General features: G+C 37.0%; 1 protein-coding gene across 4 annotated transcripts in view; it reads left to right on the forward strand.

The window, feature by feature from the left end:
- Positions 1–16,027, forward strand: part of BRCC3 (BRCA1/BRCA2-containing complex subunit 3) — a 51,570-nt gene extending 35,543 nt beyond the window's left edge. For all 4 annotated transcript variants that reach the window (XM_005274751.5, NM_001242640.2, NM_024332.4 and 1 more), the window contains 4 exons: positions 9,007–9,138; positions 9,661–9,704; positions 12,949–13,118; positions 14,173–16,027. In XM_005274751.5, coding sequence (XP_005274808.1) covers positions 9,007–9,138; positions 9,661–9,704; positions 12,949–13,100 — 328 coding nt within the window. In that variant the 3' untranslated portion in view covers positions 13,101–13,118; positions 14,173–16,027. The remainder of the gene's footprint in view (positions 1–9,006; positions 9,139–9,660; positions 9,705–12,948; positions 13,119–14,172) is intronic.

Consider the following 20,781-nt stretch of genomic DNA (forward strand, 5'->3'; position numbering starts at 1 on the left):
TTTTGTTATTTTTCCTTGAAACACTGATTTTTATTTAGTTATTTTTTTTCTATTCCCAACCTTACTACTTTTTCTTTTATGTTTATTATTTCCTTCCTTATGTTTCATTTTGGTCATTTTGTTGTGCTTATCTTAGCATTTGGAGTTTGGAATTTAATGAGTATATTTTTTGTCTTTCATTATTATTGATATAAATGCTTAAGGCTGTGAATTTTCCACTGATCTTTGCTTTAAATATATCCCATAGATGCTAAGTAGTATTTTTATTTATTTTTTTTTTTAAAAGTTCTTTAATTTTAGCACTCACCCATTTTACTTCCTTTCAATTTGGTATCATGGTGTAGCTATTCTAAAATGATCCTGCTCCCTAATGCCCTCAGAATAAAGCCCCAAACCTGCAGCCCTTCATGGTTTGCTTATTTCTCCAGCCATGTTCTCTCTCTGTCATATGCTCACTCTGCCTACAGTTTCCTTTTTCCTTATACCACCTGGCCAATGTCTAGTCATTTTTGAAGATGAAGATCAAATTTAGGAATCCTTCTCTGATAATTCTCAACCCCCAATACCATCCCAGTTAAGCATTCCTCCTGGAAACTTAATAAAATCATATACTTCCTTTTTGTAATACTTATAACATTATATTTTAATATTTTGTTTTTCCACTAACATTGTAAGATCCTTGAAAGAAGGTATGCTTTTTTATTACTGTTCCCATGGTGTTCAGTAAATATTTGTTTAGTGTCCCTTCAGCTGTAGATTTCAAAACTACTATTTTAATGCATACATTCTGACCTGTGAGCTCTAGCATACTCTAGAGCTTCTTTGTCATAAACTTAGTTTGGTTGGTTGGTCTTAGCTTTTCAATTGAAGTGTAACATACAGAAAAGTACACAAATTACAAGTGTCCAGCTCAATCAATTTTCACAAAATGAAAACACCTATGCAACCACAACCCAGATCAGCTCCATGAATTTTTACAAGGTGAACGCCTGTGAAACTGTACTACATATCAAGAAATAGAACCTTACCAGCCCTCCAGAAGCCTCCTTTGTGACTCCTCTCAATTGTTATGCCCTTGTTTTTTTCCCAAAGGTAACCATTATCCTAATCTCTAACAACACAGATTAATTTTGTCTGTTTTTGAATTTTATATAAATGGGAAAATACGGTAAGTACAACTTTGTGTATGGCTTCTTTCACTCTGTTATGGTAGTTCTTTTTTATTGCTGTGTAATATTTCATTGTTGGAAATTACCACAATTTACTTATATGTTCTATTGTTAGGCATTTGGGTTGTTTCCAATTTGGGGCTCTTATGAATAAAGCTGCTATGAAAATAATCCTTACATAAGCCTCTTTTTGCCCATGTGAATGCATATCTTTTCAGTATGTACACAGAAGTGGAATTGCTGGGTTATCACTTTAGTAGAATAGTTTCCAAATTCACATCCTTGCCAACAGTGTATGAAGGTTTTCACAGCTTAACAGCTTCACTGACAATTAGTATTTTCTGACTTTTTCATTTTTTGCAGTTCTGGTGAGTGTGCAGTAGTATCTTATTGTGGTTTTAATTTGGATTTCCCCAGTGACTAATTAGGTTGAACACCTTTTCAAATGTTTATAGGCTTTTTGGATATCCCCTCATGTATAAGTCATATTCATTTTTCTTTAACTTTCTTAGTACTTCAAAAGAATTCCAGTATGTTCTGGATACAAGCTGTCAGCTATACCTATTCCAAGTATCTACTCTCTCACCCTGACCTGGTTTTCACTATCTTAATGGTATCATTTGATGAGCCTAAGTTGTTTATTTAATATAATAGTCCAAATTATCTTTTTATCTTTTCGATCTAGTGCTTTTTAGTGTCCTACACTATTTAAGACATCTTTCCCTATCTGGAAGAGATGCTTTATTATTTCACCATTCGTGCTTAAATCTACAATCTACTTAGTGTTAACTTTAGGATATGATGTGGGATGTGAGTTGACATTCCCTTTTTCCCACGTGTGTATCCAATTGACCTGGCACCATTTATTGCTGCCTTGCCACTTTGCCTTAAATCAGTCGTCCCTATATATATGATTATGTTTCTGGACTCTAGGCGAATTCTGTTTTGTCTATGTGTCTATCCTTGTGTCAGTAACACACTTAGTTGCTGTAGCTTTATAATAAGTCTTGATGATATGCGGTAACATTAGTTCTCCCCTTTGTTGTTATTCTTCAAGACTGTCTTGGCTATTCTTCGCCCTTTGTAGCCCCATATAAATTTTAAAATCGGTTTGTTGATTTCCACAAGAAAACTTGCTGAAACATGTCAGCTGAAATTTGACTGGGATAGAATTGAATCCATTCATCAATTTGATGTATCCCTCCATTTATTTAGATTTTAATTTCTCTATCTTTTGTATTTTTCTGTGAAACATCTGAAAAGATTGCACACATCTTTCATTTAAATTATTCTTGGGAATTTGGTGTTTTATGTTATTGTAATTGGTATCTTTTCATAATTTTCCAGTTGGTACCGGTTATTTAGATAGCAAATTGATATATGTATATTGGCTTTATATCCAGCAGCCTTATGGATATAAATGTACTTATTAATCCTAATGATTTATCTGCAGATTTTATTTCCTTGGGATTTTCTATGTAAACAGTCATGTCTTCCATAAACAAGGGCAATTTAATTTCACCCTTTCCAATCTTTACACCTTTTTATTTCTCTTTCATGCCTTATTATACTGTCTCAGTCTTCCAGTAAAATTTATGAATAAAATGTAAAAGAGAATGCTTTAAAATTTCCCAATTATCTCTGGTGTTTAATTTAGCTTTTCTGTAGTTAGCCTCTATCATATTAAGGAAGTTCCCTTGTATTTCTAGTATTCTAAGCCTCTTTTTTATGATTGAATGTTGAATTTTATCAAATGCTCCTTCTGCATTTATTAAGATAATCATATGATTATTTGCCTTAATGTGGTAAGTCGCATGAACTGATTTCTGAATCTTAACCCAGCTTTGCATTCCTTAGTCACTGTATATTATCTCTTTAGTGTATTCACTAGGCTAATCTTTTTAGGAATTATATATCTTTTTCATAAATAAGATTGATCCATAATTTTCTTTTCTTTAAACACCTTTGCTAGATTTTGATATCATGGTTTTGCTGGCTGCATAGTACAAAGTAGAAAATGTTCCCATATCTCGATTTTCTGAAATGGTTTGTGTAAGTTTGGGTTTTTTCTTTAAATGTTTGATAGAATGTAACAGATTAGCAATGTCAGTGTGGAGTTTTCTTTGTGTAAAGTTTTAAATTATAGGTTCAGTTTCTTTAAAATATGTAGGATTATTCTGATTTTCTGTATCGTTTTAGTTTTGGCAAGTTGTGCTTTTCTAGGAATTTATCCTAGAACTTTAGTTTACATTGTTCACAATATCTTCTTATTATTCTTTTAAAGTTTGTAGGATCCGAAGTGATTTCTCTTTTTTCATTCCTTACATTAGTAATTTTTGTGTTCTCTGTTTTTACCTTGATCAGTCTTGGTGGGGGTTTATTAATGATATCAGTCTTTTCAAAAGAGCCATAAATGTCCCTTTAAGCACTGCTTTGGGTACATCCATAATTTTTATTTACTATCCTTCAGTTCAAAGTATTTCCCTTGTGATATTATTACCCTTGTGATTTACTTTGATGTAGGTGTTATTTAGAAATATTTCATAAGATGAAATCAACACATGCTGCCCCTATATCTCACTGAACTCAACTATATACTCTGGAAAGAATGCCAAGCCTAGCTATTTGTGAACTCTGGAATGTAAATAACAGGCAGATTGGAGAAGGGCCCCAAAACTCAAAATACCACAGAAGTGGGGATATAAACAAGATCCAAAGTCTCATAACTTAATATCCAAAATAACCAGGACATAAACCAAAGTTATTTAACATATTAAGAACCACAGAAATCTCATCTTGTATGGGAGAAGATAATCAACAGATACAAAAGGCAAGATGACACTTATGTTGGAAATATCTGACAAGACTTTAAAAGCTGCCATTATGAAAATGCTCAAGCTATCAGTCACAAAAATGTTGCAACAAATATTTAAAAAGAAAAAGTATCATATAAGAAATAGAAGATAAAAAGAAGCAAATGTAAATTTTACAACTGAAAAATATAACAACCAAAAATTTTAAACTCTAGATTAAAAGTGAGAATGCAGTGGAAATGCCAGAGGAAAGAGTCAGTAAACTTGAAGATAGATTAATAGAATTATCCAAGCTGGATAACAGACAGAAAAGACTGGGAAAAAAGGGACAGAGTTTCAGAGAACTGTAGAAAAACCACAAAAGGTAGCAAAGGATAGACATATAAATCAGTGGAATAGAATTGTGAGTCCATAAGTCAACCTGTACATTTCTGGTCAATTGATCTTCAACAACTGTGCCATGATAATTCAACAGGGAAATAAGAGGCAATTCAACAAATGGTGCTGGGACAGCTGGATATCCACATGCAAAAAGAATAATGCTGGACCACTATCTTCACCCAATATACAAAAATTAAAATGGATCAAAGATCTAAATAGAAGAGCTAAAACAATACAACTTTAGAAGAAAACATAGGGGTACATCTTCATGACCTTCAATTTGGCACTAATTTCTTAAATATGACATCAAATGCACAAGGGAGAAAGGAAAAACAGATAAATTGGATTTGATAAAAATTAAAAACTTTTGTGCATCACAGCACATTATCAAGAAGGTGAAAATAACCTACAGAATCAGAAAAAATAGTGGCAAATTACAAAAAGCAGTCTCCCCTTATCTTTGGGGAATATGTTCCAAGAACCCCAGTGGAGGCCTGAAACCACAGATAGTACTGACCCCTATTACACCATGTTTTCTTATACACGCACACCTGTGATAAAGTTTAGTTTATAAATTAGGCACAGTATGAGATTAACAACAACAATAGTAAAATAGAACAATTATAACAATATATTGTTCACAATTTCAAAGATAGAAGATTTGTTCTTACTATAGGCCTTAGCAGCATTAGCATATGATATGTTCTCGTTTTTTAAAATTAAGTTGGATACTTTTCATCATTTCACTTAAATGAAGCACTTTAGGGCTTCTCTTTGGCATAGCAGAACTGCCAACATTGCTGCTCCTATGTTCTGGGGCCATTATTAAGTAAAATAAGGGTTATTTGAACATTAGAACTGCAATACCGTGACAGTCAATCTGATGGTTACCAAGTGACTAATGGGCAGGTATCATATACAGTATGGATCAGATGGACAAAGGGTTGATTCATATCCTGGGCAGGTTAGAGCAGGATGGCGTAAGATTTCATCATGCTACTCAGAAAGGTCTGCAACTTAAAGCTTATGAATTGTTTATTTCTAGAATTTTTCATCTAACATTTTTGGACCGTGGTTGACCACAGGTAACTGAAACCATGGAAAGTAAAACCAAGGATAAGAGAGGACTACATATTTGATAATGGTATAGCATCCAGAATAGGTAAAGAATTCTTACAACTCAAAAATAAAAGGACATACACTTCAATTTAAAAATAAGCATTCAACACAGGACTGGAATTCCTAGCCAAAACAATTAAGCAAGAACAAGAAATAAAAGGCATCCACATTGGAAAGGAAGATGTAAGTTTATCTCTCTGTTCACACATGAAATATATGTGGAAACCTCACAAAACTGTTAGAACTAATAAGCAAAAAGAAAGTTGCAGGATACAAAAATCAACAAACCAAAATCTATTTTATTTCCGTATACTAACAATGAATAATCAGAAAAGGAAATTTAGAAAATCTCATTTACAATAATATCAAAAAGAATAAAATAATTAGGCATAAACTTAACCAAGGAGGTGAAAGACTTATATATTCAAAACTACAAAATGTTGCTGGAAGAAGTTACAGACACAAATAAATGGAAAGACATCTCATGTTCATGGATTGGATAAATTAATATTGTTAAGATATCATACTACTCAAAGTGATCTGTAGATTTAATGCAATCACTGTAAACATCCCAATGGCTTGCTTGCTTTTTTTTTTTTTTTTTTTTTTTTTTTGATGGAGTCTCACTCTGTCACCCAGGCTGGCCATTTTAAGTTGATACGGAATCTCGGGGGACCTTGAATAGCCAAAACAAGTTCGAAAAAGAACCAATTTGGGCAATTCACACTGCCTGGTTTCAAAAGTAACTACAAAGCTACAGTCATCAAAACAGTGTGGTATCAATGAAACAGAATGGTCAGCCCAGATTTAAACCCTTGCATATGGTCAAGCAAACTTCAACAAGGATACCAACACCACTAAATGGGAAAAAGACAGTCTCTTTAATAAATGATACTGGGAAAACTGAATATTCACATGCAAAAGAAAGAAGCTGGACCCTTATCTTACACCGTATATAAAACTTAAATGAATTAAAGACCAAAATATAAGACCCCGAACTACAAAACTAGCAGAAAACATAGGGAAAAAGCTTCATGACATTGGATTTGACAATAATTTCTTGAATATGACACCAAAAGCACAGCTAACAAAAGCAAAATAGACAAATGAGACTACATCCAGCTTTAAAACTTATGTGCACGAAAGGAAGCAATGAACTGAGTGAAAAGGCAACCTATGGAATGGGAGAAAATATTTGCAAATCATATATTTAATAAGGGGTCAATATCCAGAATATATAAAGAACTCCTACACTCAACAACAAAAAAATCTGATTTTAAAATGGGCAAAGGACTTAAAGTGATATTTCTCTTGGTCAACAAGCATATGAAAGAGTGTTCAATATCACTAATTGTCAGAGAAATGCAAATCAAAACCACAATGAGATACCACCTCACACCCATTATGACAGCTACTATCTAACAAAATCAGAAAATAACAAGTGTTGGTGGGAATATGGAGGAGTTGGAGCCCTTGTACATTATTGTTGAGATTGTAGAGTGGTGCAATAAGCCTGTAGTTTCTTTAAAAACCTAAAAATAGATCTACTATATGATCTACCAGTCTCACTTCTTGGGTGTATATCCAAAAGAATTAAAAGCAAGATCTCAAATAGGTATTTACATACCTATGTTCACAGCATTATTCACAATAGTCTAGAAGTAAAAGCATCCCACATGTCCATTGATGGATAAATGGACCAACAAAATGCAACGTAACATATAATGGAATACTATACAACCTTAAAAATAAAGGAAAACCTGTTACAACCTACAGCATGAAAGAACCCTGAGAATATTATGCTAAGTGAAATAAGCTATTCACAAAAGGACAGATGCAGCATTTTTCTATTTATATAAGGTATCTAATGATCATAGATATACAAAGTAGAATGGTGGTCACCAGGGGCCGGGAGAAGGGAGAAAGGGGAGTTTCAGTTCTGCAAGGTGAGAATGTTTTGAAGATCTGTTTCATAACAATGTTAATATACTTACATTACTGAACTGTACACTTAAAATGGTTGATAGTAAATTTTATTTTTTTAACCACAATTAAAAAAAAAAACCCAAATGGACATTGTAAAAGTGGAAAATACCTAAAATTAAGAAATCACCAGAGGGACTAGCAGGAGACTCAGGTATAGCAGAAGGGATCAGTGACAAAGACAGGTTGATAAAATATACCCTAAATGAAGCAAAGAGTTAAAAAAAAAAAGAGAATGAAATAGAAGAATGGCATGTGACAGAACTGTGAGGCAGTGTGAACCATTTTAATTTACATGTAATTGGAGCACCAGAAGTAGACAAAGAATGCCTAAAGAGATAATGGCTAAGAATTCTCTAAAAACTGATTCATACCCATAGATGCATGAATCTCAGCCAATCACAAGCAATATGAACATAAGCAAACTAAAATAGGCACATTATAGCAGCTAAAGGAATAAAAGATATATTACAAATAGTGGAGAAATACAATGATAAGAACGATGGCTGACTTCTCATCAGAACCCTGGGAGGCTGGAAGATGATGGGGTGACATCTTTAATGTGCATGAAGAAAAAAGCTATCAACCCCAGAATTTTATATTAAGACAAACCAGACATTTTTATGGAAAAAAGCAGGCAGAATTAATCTGGAGAATTCACTACAAGAAATATTAAAAGTTCTTCAGACTGAAAATATATGATTTTAGATGGAAGCACACCCTGACTACTTGGGTGTGGGGAGGGGAGGGCTTGTAATGCCCCACCATTTGTGTTCCATCTAGGTTGTGGTATGGGGACTAGACATGTTCTGCTGGGATGGGGAAGCTAGATCTTAAGCTGCCTTACCACCATGTGCCAGTGGGGCCTCACAGTGCCAGGGGCCTTCAACCTGAATTCTCCACTGAACCTGCTGGTAGGTAGAGTTTAGGTGTATTTGGGGTGAGAAGTGGGTAGAGGTAGATTGGTTGGGCCTTAGTAACAAACATTTCTGTTTCTCCCACTCTAGCATGAGCATGTGAATATTTGTGAATTTCTTACCTATTTCCCCCCAGGGGAGAAAATGGGAAGTGAGGGCCACTGGTAAACACTGAGTTAGAACAAGTGAGTAATCCCACCTACATAATGAATGTGATGGAGTCATTGAAGAGTCTGTAGTTCCTCTTCTCCAGACTTTTGTGATTAATTTGTTCAACCTCACTGGCAACTTCTTGACTGAAGACAGTATTAATTAGCTATTTCCCCTGACTGGGGAGCAGACGTAAGGACCTTGAGCTCTCAAGGCTTCTCTTAAATTTACAGAAGTGGTCTTAGATTCTCTATGGAACTAGGGAATACTGGCTCTGCAGACGGGCTTTTAGTTTGCTCTCCAGACGAACCCAGTTTGAACTCTATCCACTTTGAAGTTGCATCACTAAATGAATTACAGCAATGCTTAATCTTTAAAGTATGCCATATCCCAAACTTCCAATTAAAACTGTAGAGAACTTCTGATTATAACAACTCAGGGTTTAAAAACTGACCTGAACTGATTGCCTCACAGGTATGAGAGAATCGAAATCCCAATCCATATTGTACCTCATGTCACTATCGGGAAAGTGTGCCTTGAATCAGCAGTAGAGCTGCCCAAGATCCTGTGCCAGGAGGAGCAGGATGCGTATAGGAGGATCCACAGGTAGAGACCCTCTTCACTCCTCTTCTCTACTTCTCAGGACCTAGTCTCTCTTTTCTTCTTCTGTCCTTTTCTCTTTAGCAGCTCAACTCTTGAGGCCCCTTCTTTTTGCCTCTCTGGGAAGCTTTCTAGCAGTCTCCAATCATAATGTTTCTCACGTTGTATGATAATTTCTTCAACATTTGTTTTTCTCCTGCTACTTTGGATCTTTCAAGGGCAAGGATGCTTTCTTTTTTGGTTGAGAAAAGAGGATAATCCACAACATCTTAATCCTGTTGCCAAGCACTAGGTCTTGCCCAATAAATTTGTACTAAGTCAGAGCTTTGGTGAGAGACAGCAATTTCAAAATTATCACTTTGAATTATCTTTGAATAAAATCACATCCCCCAAATCATCAAGAAGTTGATATTGGGGATTTAAATACTACATATTCATCTAATACAGTTGGCAACGGTATAGTCCATGACCATTTTGCTTTCCCTTCAGTGCTGCTTTGCCACTAACCTAAACTATTTTATTCTTTAGCCTTACACATCTGGACTCAGTAACCAAGATCCATAATGGCTCAGGTAAGAATTGTTTCTTGAGTACTCAGCATTTTTTCTGACTATTTCCCTGAAACACTCAGCTGACAGATGCAAATTTAGTTTAAGTGAGTGAAGTGATGGGTACAAGTTGTCTTCAGGCTTCCTTTCCCAAGGGTTTTCCTGATCCTGAGCCCAACATTTCTTGTAAACTCTGGGGATCCATGAATACTATAAATACAGCCTAGAGTAAGACAGGAGGAAAGACAGGAAAGAGCTTTATGATAGACCTACTCAGTGATATACTGGCACACATTTAACAACCAGATCTCAAGGAGCAGGGAGGACCCTGATTTGTCGTGTTTGACGGTTTCCATGGTGTAATGCCCCTGGCATGGCTGGTTTCAAGCAACTAACATGTCATCAACTAGCTTATAAACTTCTTGGAATTTTAATAGTTGGCTTTTGTGAGCTGGCATGAATTGGTTCCAGCATAACACTACCAGCCTGTCGTGGTGGGAACTGAAAGAGATGGATGGATACACAGATAGAGAGATAAAAGGGAAGGCATGAGGGAGAAAATCTTTTGATGTCAATAAATATAAAAGTAATTTTTGTACAAGGCAAAGGAACAAAAAGCTGAATACAATATATATACTAATTCACTTGTCCCTAACATACACATTGCCCCAGCCACACTTTCTGTCTGAGTAACCCTGACTTCTGGGTCATTCTGTGCACTCTTCCCCAGTTACTTCCAAAGTCACCAGTGAGGAAGAAGGGGAGGCTTTTGAGTGTTATAGGCGGTTACTTTTCAAAGAAAAGGGAGAAATGGCTTGGTCTATCTGTCCCATAATTTCGGTCTCAGGATAAAACATGACAGAGTTAAAAGTTGGTAATATATGATATATAACCATATTCTAAAGCCACAGTAATTTAAAAAGTATAAATAATAGCTCAAAATAAACAAATAGATCAGTGGAACTGAACAGAGTCCAGAGATAGGCCTATGTATATATAAGAATTTATATTTAGCAAAGATATTACTTTAAATAAATGAAAAAAGCATGAATTATTTACTAAATAGGATTGGGACAGTTCATTTCTTTCTTTGTTCATTCAGGAAACATTTGAGTGCTATTCCAGGCACTAAGGTACAGTGCTGAACAAAAGAGACAGTTTTAACCTTCATGGAGTTAACATTCTTTTATTTCCATTTGGGGGAAAATAGATTCCTACCTAATACCCTACACAAAAAATAAATTCCAGATATATTTAAACTTTTACTATTGTGGTACAACCACTTTAGAAAAGAGGTTGGCAATTATACTTGCCAAATGTCATACCAGTTCCTTTCCTAGGTATATACGTCAAAGAATTGAAAACAGCTGCTCAAACAAAAACTTGTACACAAATGTTTACAGCAGCATTATTCACAATAGCCAAAAGGTAGAAACAACACAAATGTGTATCAGTGGGTGAATGGATAAACTCTGATATATCCATATAATGGAGTACAACTCAACAATAAAAAGAACAAACTACTGAAACATGAACAAAAAGGACGCGTCTCAAGAACATTATGCCAGGTGAAGGAAGCATCACACAAAAGGCTACATACTCCATGGTTCCAAATTCAAGAATAAGCAAAACTAATCTATGGTGTGGTAGCTGCCTGGGCCCAGGGGTGAAGGGGCATTTGATGCAAAGGGAACTGCGGAGGGTATTGTTTGAGGGTGGTGGAAATGGTATGTATCTTGACTAGCACTGGTTACATAGGATGTCTTAGTTCATTTTGTGTTGTTATGAAGGAATACCTGAGGCTGGGTAATTTATAAAGAAAAGAGGCTTACTTGGCTTTACAGTTTTGCAGACTGAACAAGAAGCATGGTGCTGGCACCTGCATTTGGTGAGGGCTTCAGGCTGCTTCCACTTGTGACAGAAGGCAAAGGGGAGCTTGTGTATGCAGACATCATGTGGCAACAGAGGAAACGAGAATGGTGGAGGGACCAGGCTCTTTTTAACAGCCAGTTCTTGTGGGAACTAACAGAGGAAGAACTCACCCCATGACCCAAACACCTCACATGAGGCCCTACCTCCAACATTGGGGGTCACATTTTAACATGAGGTTTGGAGGGCCAAATATCCAAATTATAACATGGGGTATACATTTGTCAAAACTCATAGAACTGTATACTTTAAATTGGTTCATTTTACTGTCTGTAAATTACACCCCCAAAAGCTCATTTTATAAGTTAAAGAAATACAGGAGGAAAAATATAAGAATTTTTTTCAGACTCTAGGAAGGTGATAGCCTAAGAATAATGTGAAACCCTGAATTCACAAAAGGAAAGATTGACTAAATAAAAATTAAAGACTTTTATGGCCCCCTACAAAAATAAAAATGTTAATTATTATCTTTAAAAGAAGTATAGATTAAGATAAGATTATCAGCTTTTCACCTTTTCAAAGATTAAATTGAGAGACAATTAGGTGAGGATGTGAGGGAAGTGAACAGTCTCACTGTTTCTGGAGATATAATTTGGTACAATCTGGAAAATACTGGATAATTAGTTTTAAAGTGTACATGTACTTAGATTTTAAAGTCTTTAAAATAGCAAAAAACTGGACAGTGGTCATTTAAGTAACAGTCACATATTATGAGAGAGAAAAAGATACTTACATTAGATGGAATTTGTTTTAAAAGAGTACCTTAGAATCTTTGTCTCACCATGAAGCTGAACAGTCACAGTAAAGCATAAAAGATGGTAACTCCCTTACTCTTCATCCCTCTGTTCTTCATTTCAAAAGAGGAGCTCTCAGGTGTATTCAATTAATGTATATTTCTGCAATATACATAACAGTTTATATACCTACAGGGCGCTCTGGAAACGTAAGTTGCAGAAGGCAGACTTCTGGCCCATTAGGAGGTTATGGTGGTTTACAGCAAGGGAAGGTCTGAGAGGCTGGGGAAAGGAACCCTTTCGTGGCTCTTAGCCCTTTTGCCTAAGGGAGTAAAGAGCTGGCCCTCTTTCTGCCAGGCTTCCCTCTGGCTTATGGATTCAAGATGGCCTCAGAATGGGTATTTTCTATGCTCAGCTCTTCTGTTTTTCCCCTGGCTGGGCACAGAAAATAGTTTACCAGTCCTACTTATTACACTTTTTCTACTTCCTTCTCCAACCCCTTCTTTCTGTGCTCATGGTTGGGGGTCTGTTGGTGATAGAGTGGAAACATGCTAGTGGATGGTGCTTTTCCACAATTATTCTCATCTTTATTTTTCCTATTGAAGTGTTTACCAAGAATCTGTGCAGTCAGATGTCGGCAGTCAGCGGGCCTCTCCTACAGTGGTTGGAGGACAGACTGGAGCAAAACCAACAGCATTTGCAGGAATTACAACAAGAAAAGGAAGAGCTTATGCAAGAACTTTCTTCTCTAGAATAAATCAGGAGACAAAATGGGGTAAAAAACTTCTTTTTCAATTTGTGTACTAAACACAGTCTGAAAATGCACACAGCTCACATGCAGGCAGACAATAGAGTAGTTATTTTTCACATGCAATCAGCACAGGATGTCTTCCTGACAGTTTAATTAGAGTTCACTGAACCCTCCTACCTATAACTGACCAATAAGGAGCTTATGCAAGATGATTTAAGTAGAATATGAAAGTTATTTTTAAAAAGGCTATGAGTGGTACAATGGCAAGGAATATCTTAGAATAAAATGTCTGGGGGGTATATTTTAAACATTTATATTTCCCTTTCTTTTAACTTGGAAGTCTTTATTTTCATTTTCAAATACATTCACTCACTAGAATATTTTATGTTTCAATTTTGTAGGTATGATGCTTATGTTGGACAAGCAAATAATAAATCTAGTGTGAGTGGAAGGAAGTACCCCACCTCTATGCCCTCACTGAGAGGGCAGTGTCTTCCTTCTTGATTTCTAAAATATATGTTCTGAGATACCTATCAAACGTTGAATCTCTGAGGGTGCCCTTTTTAGCCCAACATGAGTTCTAGCATATTTGACTCTGAAGTAAACTCCTATTGAGCAGATCCTATCTGCCTAGGAGTTTCCATTATAGTAAAATGTGTTTCTCCAGAAACATTTAGGATTGAGGATATAATAAAAATCATGCTTTAAAAAGTTTGGTTGCATTACTCTTATCATGTAAAAGCACAAATGATAAATGTGTCTGCAGAAAAGACATACTTTTCTGTGTGCTTGTTGCATACTGGAAACAAAGTATGCTTGTTGGATACTAGAAGTTAAGTGATAAAGGCTGTTTTTGGTTTTTGTTTCTCCCTCTCATTTTTCACATTTCAAAGTGTTGTCCAGAACCACCTGCATCAGAATCACTTGAAGGTCATACTCTATCTCTGGGGATAAAATCTGCATGAACTACTTAGCTGATTTGAAAACCACTAGCCTTGAGCATATGGAATGTATATACTATATTGTCCCTAATTTCCCACAGCCACTGTTCTTCTCTATTCTTTTTCTTTCCCTATAGGAAAGATGAAAATATCCAGTGTAAAGTTACTTAAGCTAAATCAATTTCAAAGAAGAAAAACTTGGAGGACTCATTTTACCTGACTTCAAGACTTACTATAAAGCTATAGTAATCAAGATAGATGGTATTGGCAGAGGAACAGACACATACGTCAATGGAACAGATGAGAGAACCCAGAAATAAACCCATATAAATATGCTCAGCTGATTTTGAAAAAGTGAAAAAGCAATTCAATGGAGGAAGAATAGCCTTTCTGACAAATTATGCTAGAGCAATTAGACACCCATGGCGAGGAGAAAAAAGAACCTCTACTTAAACCTCACATCTTATATAAAATTTAACTCAAAATGTATAACGGACTTAAATGTGATACATAAAACTAGATAACTTTGAAAAAAGCCACAGGAGAAAAATCTTCAGGATCTTGGGCTAGGTGACAAGTTCTTGGACTTTGCCCCGAAAGCACATCCATAAAAGACAAAATCTGATATATTGGACTTCTTCAAAATTTAAAAACTTGTGATTTAAGAAGAGGAAAAGATAAGCTACAGATTGAGATGAATTTGCAAACCATATATCTGATCAATTTGGAATATATAAAGTGTACTAAAAACTCAACTGAAGTCAGGCATGGTAGCTCATGCTTGTAATCTCACCACTTTGGGAGGCCAAGATGGGAGGAGTGCTTGAGGTTAGGCGTTCCAGACCAGCCTGGGCAACATAGTGAGACTCTTGTCTCTACAAAAAGTTTTTTTAAAAAATTAACTGGGCACCATGACACACACCAGTAGTCCCAGCTACTAGGGAGGCAGGAGGATCACTTGAGCCCAGGAGTTTGAGGCTGCGGTGAGCTGTGATCACACCACCACACTCCAACCTGTGTAACAGAGTGAGGCCTCATCTCAAAAAAAAAAAAAGGCCACAAAACTCAACAATAAAAACAAACAGTCCAATTAGAAAATGGGCAAAAGACATGAATAGATGTTTCACTGAAGAGGATCTATAGATGGCAAGTAAGCATATGAAAAGCTGTTAAACTCCATAAGTCATCAGGGAATGCAAATTGAAACCACAGCGAGGCTATGACTTACTTATCTCAATGGCTAAAGAAAAAATAGTGAAAATACCAAATACTGATGAGGATACAAACTGGATATTTTATACATTGCTGACAGGAATGTAAAATGGTACAGCCACTCTGGGAAAGAGTTTATGAATTTCTTATCAAGTTAAACATAATTTTTTAATCAAGTTAAACATAAGACCCAGCAGTTGTGCTCCTGGACATTCATTCCAGAGAAATGAAAACCTATATTGTACTTGTACTCAAATATTCATAGGAGCTTTATTTGTAATAGCCCCAAACTGGAAACAACCCAGATGTCCTACAACAGGTACATGGTTAAACAAACCATCCATAACTTGGAATACTGCTCTGGAATGAAAAGGAACTAACTGTTGATACAAGAACTTGGTTGTACCTCAGGGGTATTATGGTGAACAAAAAAAAAACCAGTCTCAAATGGTCACATACTGTATGATCGCATTTATATAACATTCTTGAGGTGACAAAATTATTGAAATGAAGAACAGATTAATGGTTGCCAGGGATAGGGACTGGAGGGGGTGTGGGGTATGTATGACTATAAAGGGATGACGCAAGGAGTTCCTTTGTGCTGATGGAACAGTTCTATATGATTATGATGATTACGATGTTGATTATAACATTTGATTATGAGGTTAAGCACATGAGTCTTTACCTGTGCTGAAGTTGTATGGACCTACATACACACAAATGAATGCATGTAAAATCTGGTGATACTGAATAAAGTCTGTGGTCTAGATAGCAGTATAATATTATTGTCAATGTCTTGGATGTGAAGTTGTGCTATAGTTACAAAACCGTACCACTGGAGGAAACTGGGTAATGGATACATGGGACTCTGTACTATTTTTGCAACTTCCTATAAGTATATAATTATTGCAAAATGAAAAGTTGTAAGTTTTAAGTAAGGAACTGGGACGTATGGTACCTATTTTATGAAATAAGAAAAGGGTGCTAGAAAATTTGAGGGGAATAAAACGATTGGAATATTTTTACATGCCAACCTTTAGCACAAGTCCTTTTCCCTTTCTGGGTTTCATTTTCTTTAGGTATAGAATGAGATTAGAGTAGTTGACCACCAAGGTTTCTTTTAGCTCAGTGTCCAGTCTTTAAAAGTGTTGAGCATCACAAGAAACAGTGGTGTGAACAGGATGTATCATTATTTTCCCAGCTGCACCAATCTGGCTTACCTTTACACAACCCTGTATCCCCTTATGAACACTAGATTCTCTATTCTCAATCACATCCAAGACTCTCATGGTAACTGTATATACTTGTTCTCTCTGTTTTCTTATCTCCTATAATTTCAACTCATTGCCTTGTGACCTCTGTCCACAGCACTTCATTGAAACTACTCCTGCCAAAGTCACCAATGAGCTCCATACAGTGAAAGTCAATAGTTGCTTTTCCCATCCTTGATGAACCTCTCAGTATTGACACAGTTGGTCACTCCTCCTTGAAATCTACTTCCTTGGTTTCTCTTATTTTCTTCTCTGGCTATCCTTCCTGCTATCCTTTTCTTCTCTAGCTGTTCCTTCTCAAATTCATTCATAGACTTCTCTATCTTTGCATACCTATATGCAGTTGACACACAAATCTGTATCTGTCCACGCCTCTATCTGAACTCCAGACCTACATTTCCACCTCTCTACTGGACATTTTTTTTGAGACAGGGTCTCACTCTGTTGCCCAGGCTGGGGCGCAGTGGCATGATCATGGCTCACTGAAGCCTCGACCTCCTGACCTCAGCCTCCCAAGTAGCTGGGACTACAGGCACGCACCACCATGCCTGGCTCATTTTTTTGTATTTTTTTTGAAGAGGCAGGGTTCCACCATGTTGCCCAGGCTGGTGGCAAACTACTGGGCTCAAGCAATCCACCTGCCTCGGCCTCCCAAAGTGCTAGGATTACAGGCACGAGCCACCGTGCCTGGCCTCCACTTGGCTGTCTTAATGGCACATAAAAATTAATATATCTAAATCTGAAATCATGGTTTTCAATCTAAACTATATTCCCTTCCAACATTTCTTACCTCAGTGAATAGTGAATGTAACATCCATTTGCACAAACCAGAAACCAAATAGACATTCTTAACATCTCTCTCCATCACCTTCTAAACTATTTATATTGATAAAGTTACAGCGATTTGAAATTCTTTTTCTAGCCTAGTAATCTGAGTAATTTGTAGGATAAACATGTTGGGGGAGGGGCAGGTACATGGAGGTGTCAAAGTGCCTGATGGCTGAGGAAGCAGGCTGGGATTACTGCATGGAGGTGTCAGAGTTTCCAGCTTTGTGGCTCCATGGTTGGGTGGAGGGGCAGGGGGAGAGATCCAGTGGAAGCCATGTTGTGCCAGTGCCCTCAGGGCGAGGAGGCAGCCAGCAGTGTGCTACATTAAGCAAATAACTAAGTTGATTGAGTGAAGAAGTAAATCTGTTGAGGAAAATGGGAGCTAGGTTTCTCAATGTCAGAGAAATTATTTGAAAACATGGAAAGGCCAGGCGCAGTGGCTCACGCCTGTAATCCCAGCACTTTGGGAGGCCGAGACGGGTCAGGAGATTGAGACCATCCTGGCTAACACGCTGAAACCCCATCTCTACTAAAAATACAAAAAAAAAAAAAAAGGTTAGCTGGGCATGGTGGCAGGCGCCTGTAGTCCCAGCTACTCGGGAGGCTGACGCAGGAGAATGGTGTGAACCCGGGAGGCAGAGCTTGCAGTGAGCGAAGATTGCGCCACTGCACTCCAGCCTGGACGGCAGAGCAAGACTCTGTCTCAAAAAAAAAAACAAAACAAAATCATGGAAAGGAGGAAGGGTAAAATGAATCTCATGGTATTGGATTAAAATTGGAAAAGAGTTCATTAATATGAACTCTTGTTCAAAGGAAATATATATATATATATATATACACACACACACACACACACACACATATATACACACACACACACATACACACACATATATACACACACACACACATATATACACACACACACAGAAACCCTATATATATATATCTCAGAGCTGAGAAAGGTATGTGTATATGTACATATCTGTCTCAGCTCCGTCCACCAAGAGGGACTAGAAGTGACACCCAGTGGTTATGAGCACAGCTAGCACCAAGATGCTGATTTCCAAACCCTCCACTAAAAATGGAATTGAATTGACAGTCCAGAAATAAGCCCACACATCTACAGTCAACTGATTTTCAACAAGGGTGCCAAGACTATGGGAGAGAATAGTCTTCAACAACTGGCGAATGGACAAGTGGATATCCACGTGCAAAATAATGAAGTTGGACTGAGATCCCACACGATAAATGAATATTAACTCCAAACGTATTGAAGACTTAAATTCAAGAGCTTAAACAATAAAAACTTTATAAGAAAACAGTAGTAAATCTTTACGATCTTGGTTTTTACAATGGATTCTTAGATATGACACCAAAGTACAAGCAACAAATAAAAAATAGATAAATTGGAATTTATGGAAGTTAGAAAATTTTGTGCATCCAAAGACATGATCAAAAAGTGAAAACTCAGGACAATGGCAGAAAATATTTGCAAATCCTATGTATAAGAGTCTAGTATGCAAAATATATAAAGAACACTGAAAACAACAAAAACCAAACAGCACAATTCAAAAATGGGCAAAGGACCTAAATAGAAATTTTCCAAAGAAGACCTACAAATTGCGAAGAAGCACATGAAAAGATGCTTGACGTTACTAGTCACCAGAGAAATAAAAATCATGAGATATGACTTTATACTAACCAGAATAAAAATGTAAGAGAATAACAAGTGTTGGTGAGGCTGTGGAGAAATTGGAACTCTTGTACACTACAGGTAGGAATATAAAATGGTGTAGACAATTTGGAAAACTGGCTGATGGCTCCTCCAAAACTTAAACACAGAATTACCATAAGACCTAGCAAGGGCATTTCTAGGTGTATATCCCACAGAACTGAAGACAGAAATTTAAACAAAAACTAGACAACCCAAATGTCTATCAACCAATGAATGGGTAAACAAAATGCAGTCTGTTCTTCAATGGAATATTATTTGGCCATAAAAAGGAATGAGGGGTAGGAGGGAGCAGGGATAGAGGGTTGATGGCTAAGAGGGATGAGGTTTCTTTTTGAGGTGATGAAAATATTCTAAGTTGACTGCAGTGATGGTTGTACAGCTCTATGACTATACTAAAAGTCATTAAATTGTTCACTTTAAATGGGTGAATTGTGTATAAATTATGTCTCCATAAAGCTGTTTATTTTTTTAAAAGACACACAAAAGAAGAAACTTTCCTGCAGCTCCAGCTGACCTTGCAGGCTGGCCTCTTCCGCTCTGACCTGTGCTCCCTAAGCTCCCTGCGAAGGAGATAAAATGAGCTCCTGGTCTGCAACAGCTATTGGTTATTGTAATGTCTGCTTTTGTTTAAAAAGAAAAAAAGACCCAACTCCTTATACAGTTTGAATTGTATATATTTGGGGATCTCTGAGTTTCCTGTATCTGGATGTCTAAATCTCTTACTAGACTTAGGAAGTTTTCAGCAAGATGACTGGATGATCATGTTTCAGCCTCTGTGAGACAAACATTACAGCAGCAGATGGCACAAGACCCAGGAGCCTGAGGATGAACATCACTGGAATCCACACACTCATCAGATCTGTGCTTCCCAGGCAGCAGGCACCAGTTCCCCCTTTGCCTTCCACCATGATTGTAAGCCTCCTGAGGCCTTCATCAGATGCAGATGCTGATGCCATGTTTTCTGTACAGCCTGCAGAACTGTGAGCCATTTAAACCTCTTTATAAATTACCCACCCTCAGGTATTCCTTTATAGCAATGCAAAAATGGACTAATACACAATTTAGGAGCAAGGTGTAGGTAAGACAAGGAAAGGACTGGAAAAGGGTGAAGTGACTGCTGTAAGGACTGGTAACATCAATCACATGGCTGTGAAAGGAGGGCAACAGTCCTGACTGGTGGAGAGAGCACACTTTAAACTCTGTGAAGGCAGAGGAGGGGCCGCTAACATCTCAGCTACTTGTCTGCAGAGCCTCTGGACAATTTAGCCCAGACTGCCACCACCACTTTCAACTCAATGGCTGGCCAACAAATCTTAATCTAAGGACTCTCAGAAACTTCCCAGGAACTGCTGACTCAAGTAGTTAACAGCCTCCATTCAGAACGATAGAATGAGATTAACTTTCTGGAAACTAACAAAACTCTTTTGTACAAGAGCTTAATAGAATTGGACCCTGATCCCAACTCAACACAATGGCACTGCTGAGGTCACTACAACTTCTTACATGAAAAGAAGCTACCTATACTAGCTTGCCACACACAAAGTGGTCTATTGTCTCTAATGTACATGGTAATGGGACAATAACACATTACCCAGGACTTCCTGCTGGTCAGTCAAGGCAGGATATGTGCAACTGTCAGCATCCCTTACTGCACCTGGGTTAATGAAATATTTAACTGGCTTGGCTCCAGTTGGGGA

The sequence above is a fragment of the Homo sapiens genome, chromosome X, assembly GCF_000001405.40.
Source record: "Homo sapiens chromosome X, GRCh38.p14 Primary Assembly".
NCBI lineage: Eukaryota > Metazoa > Chordata > Mammalia > Primates > Hominidae > Homo > Homo sapiens.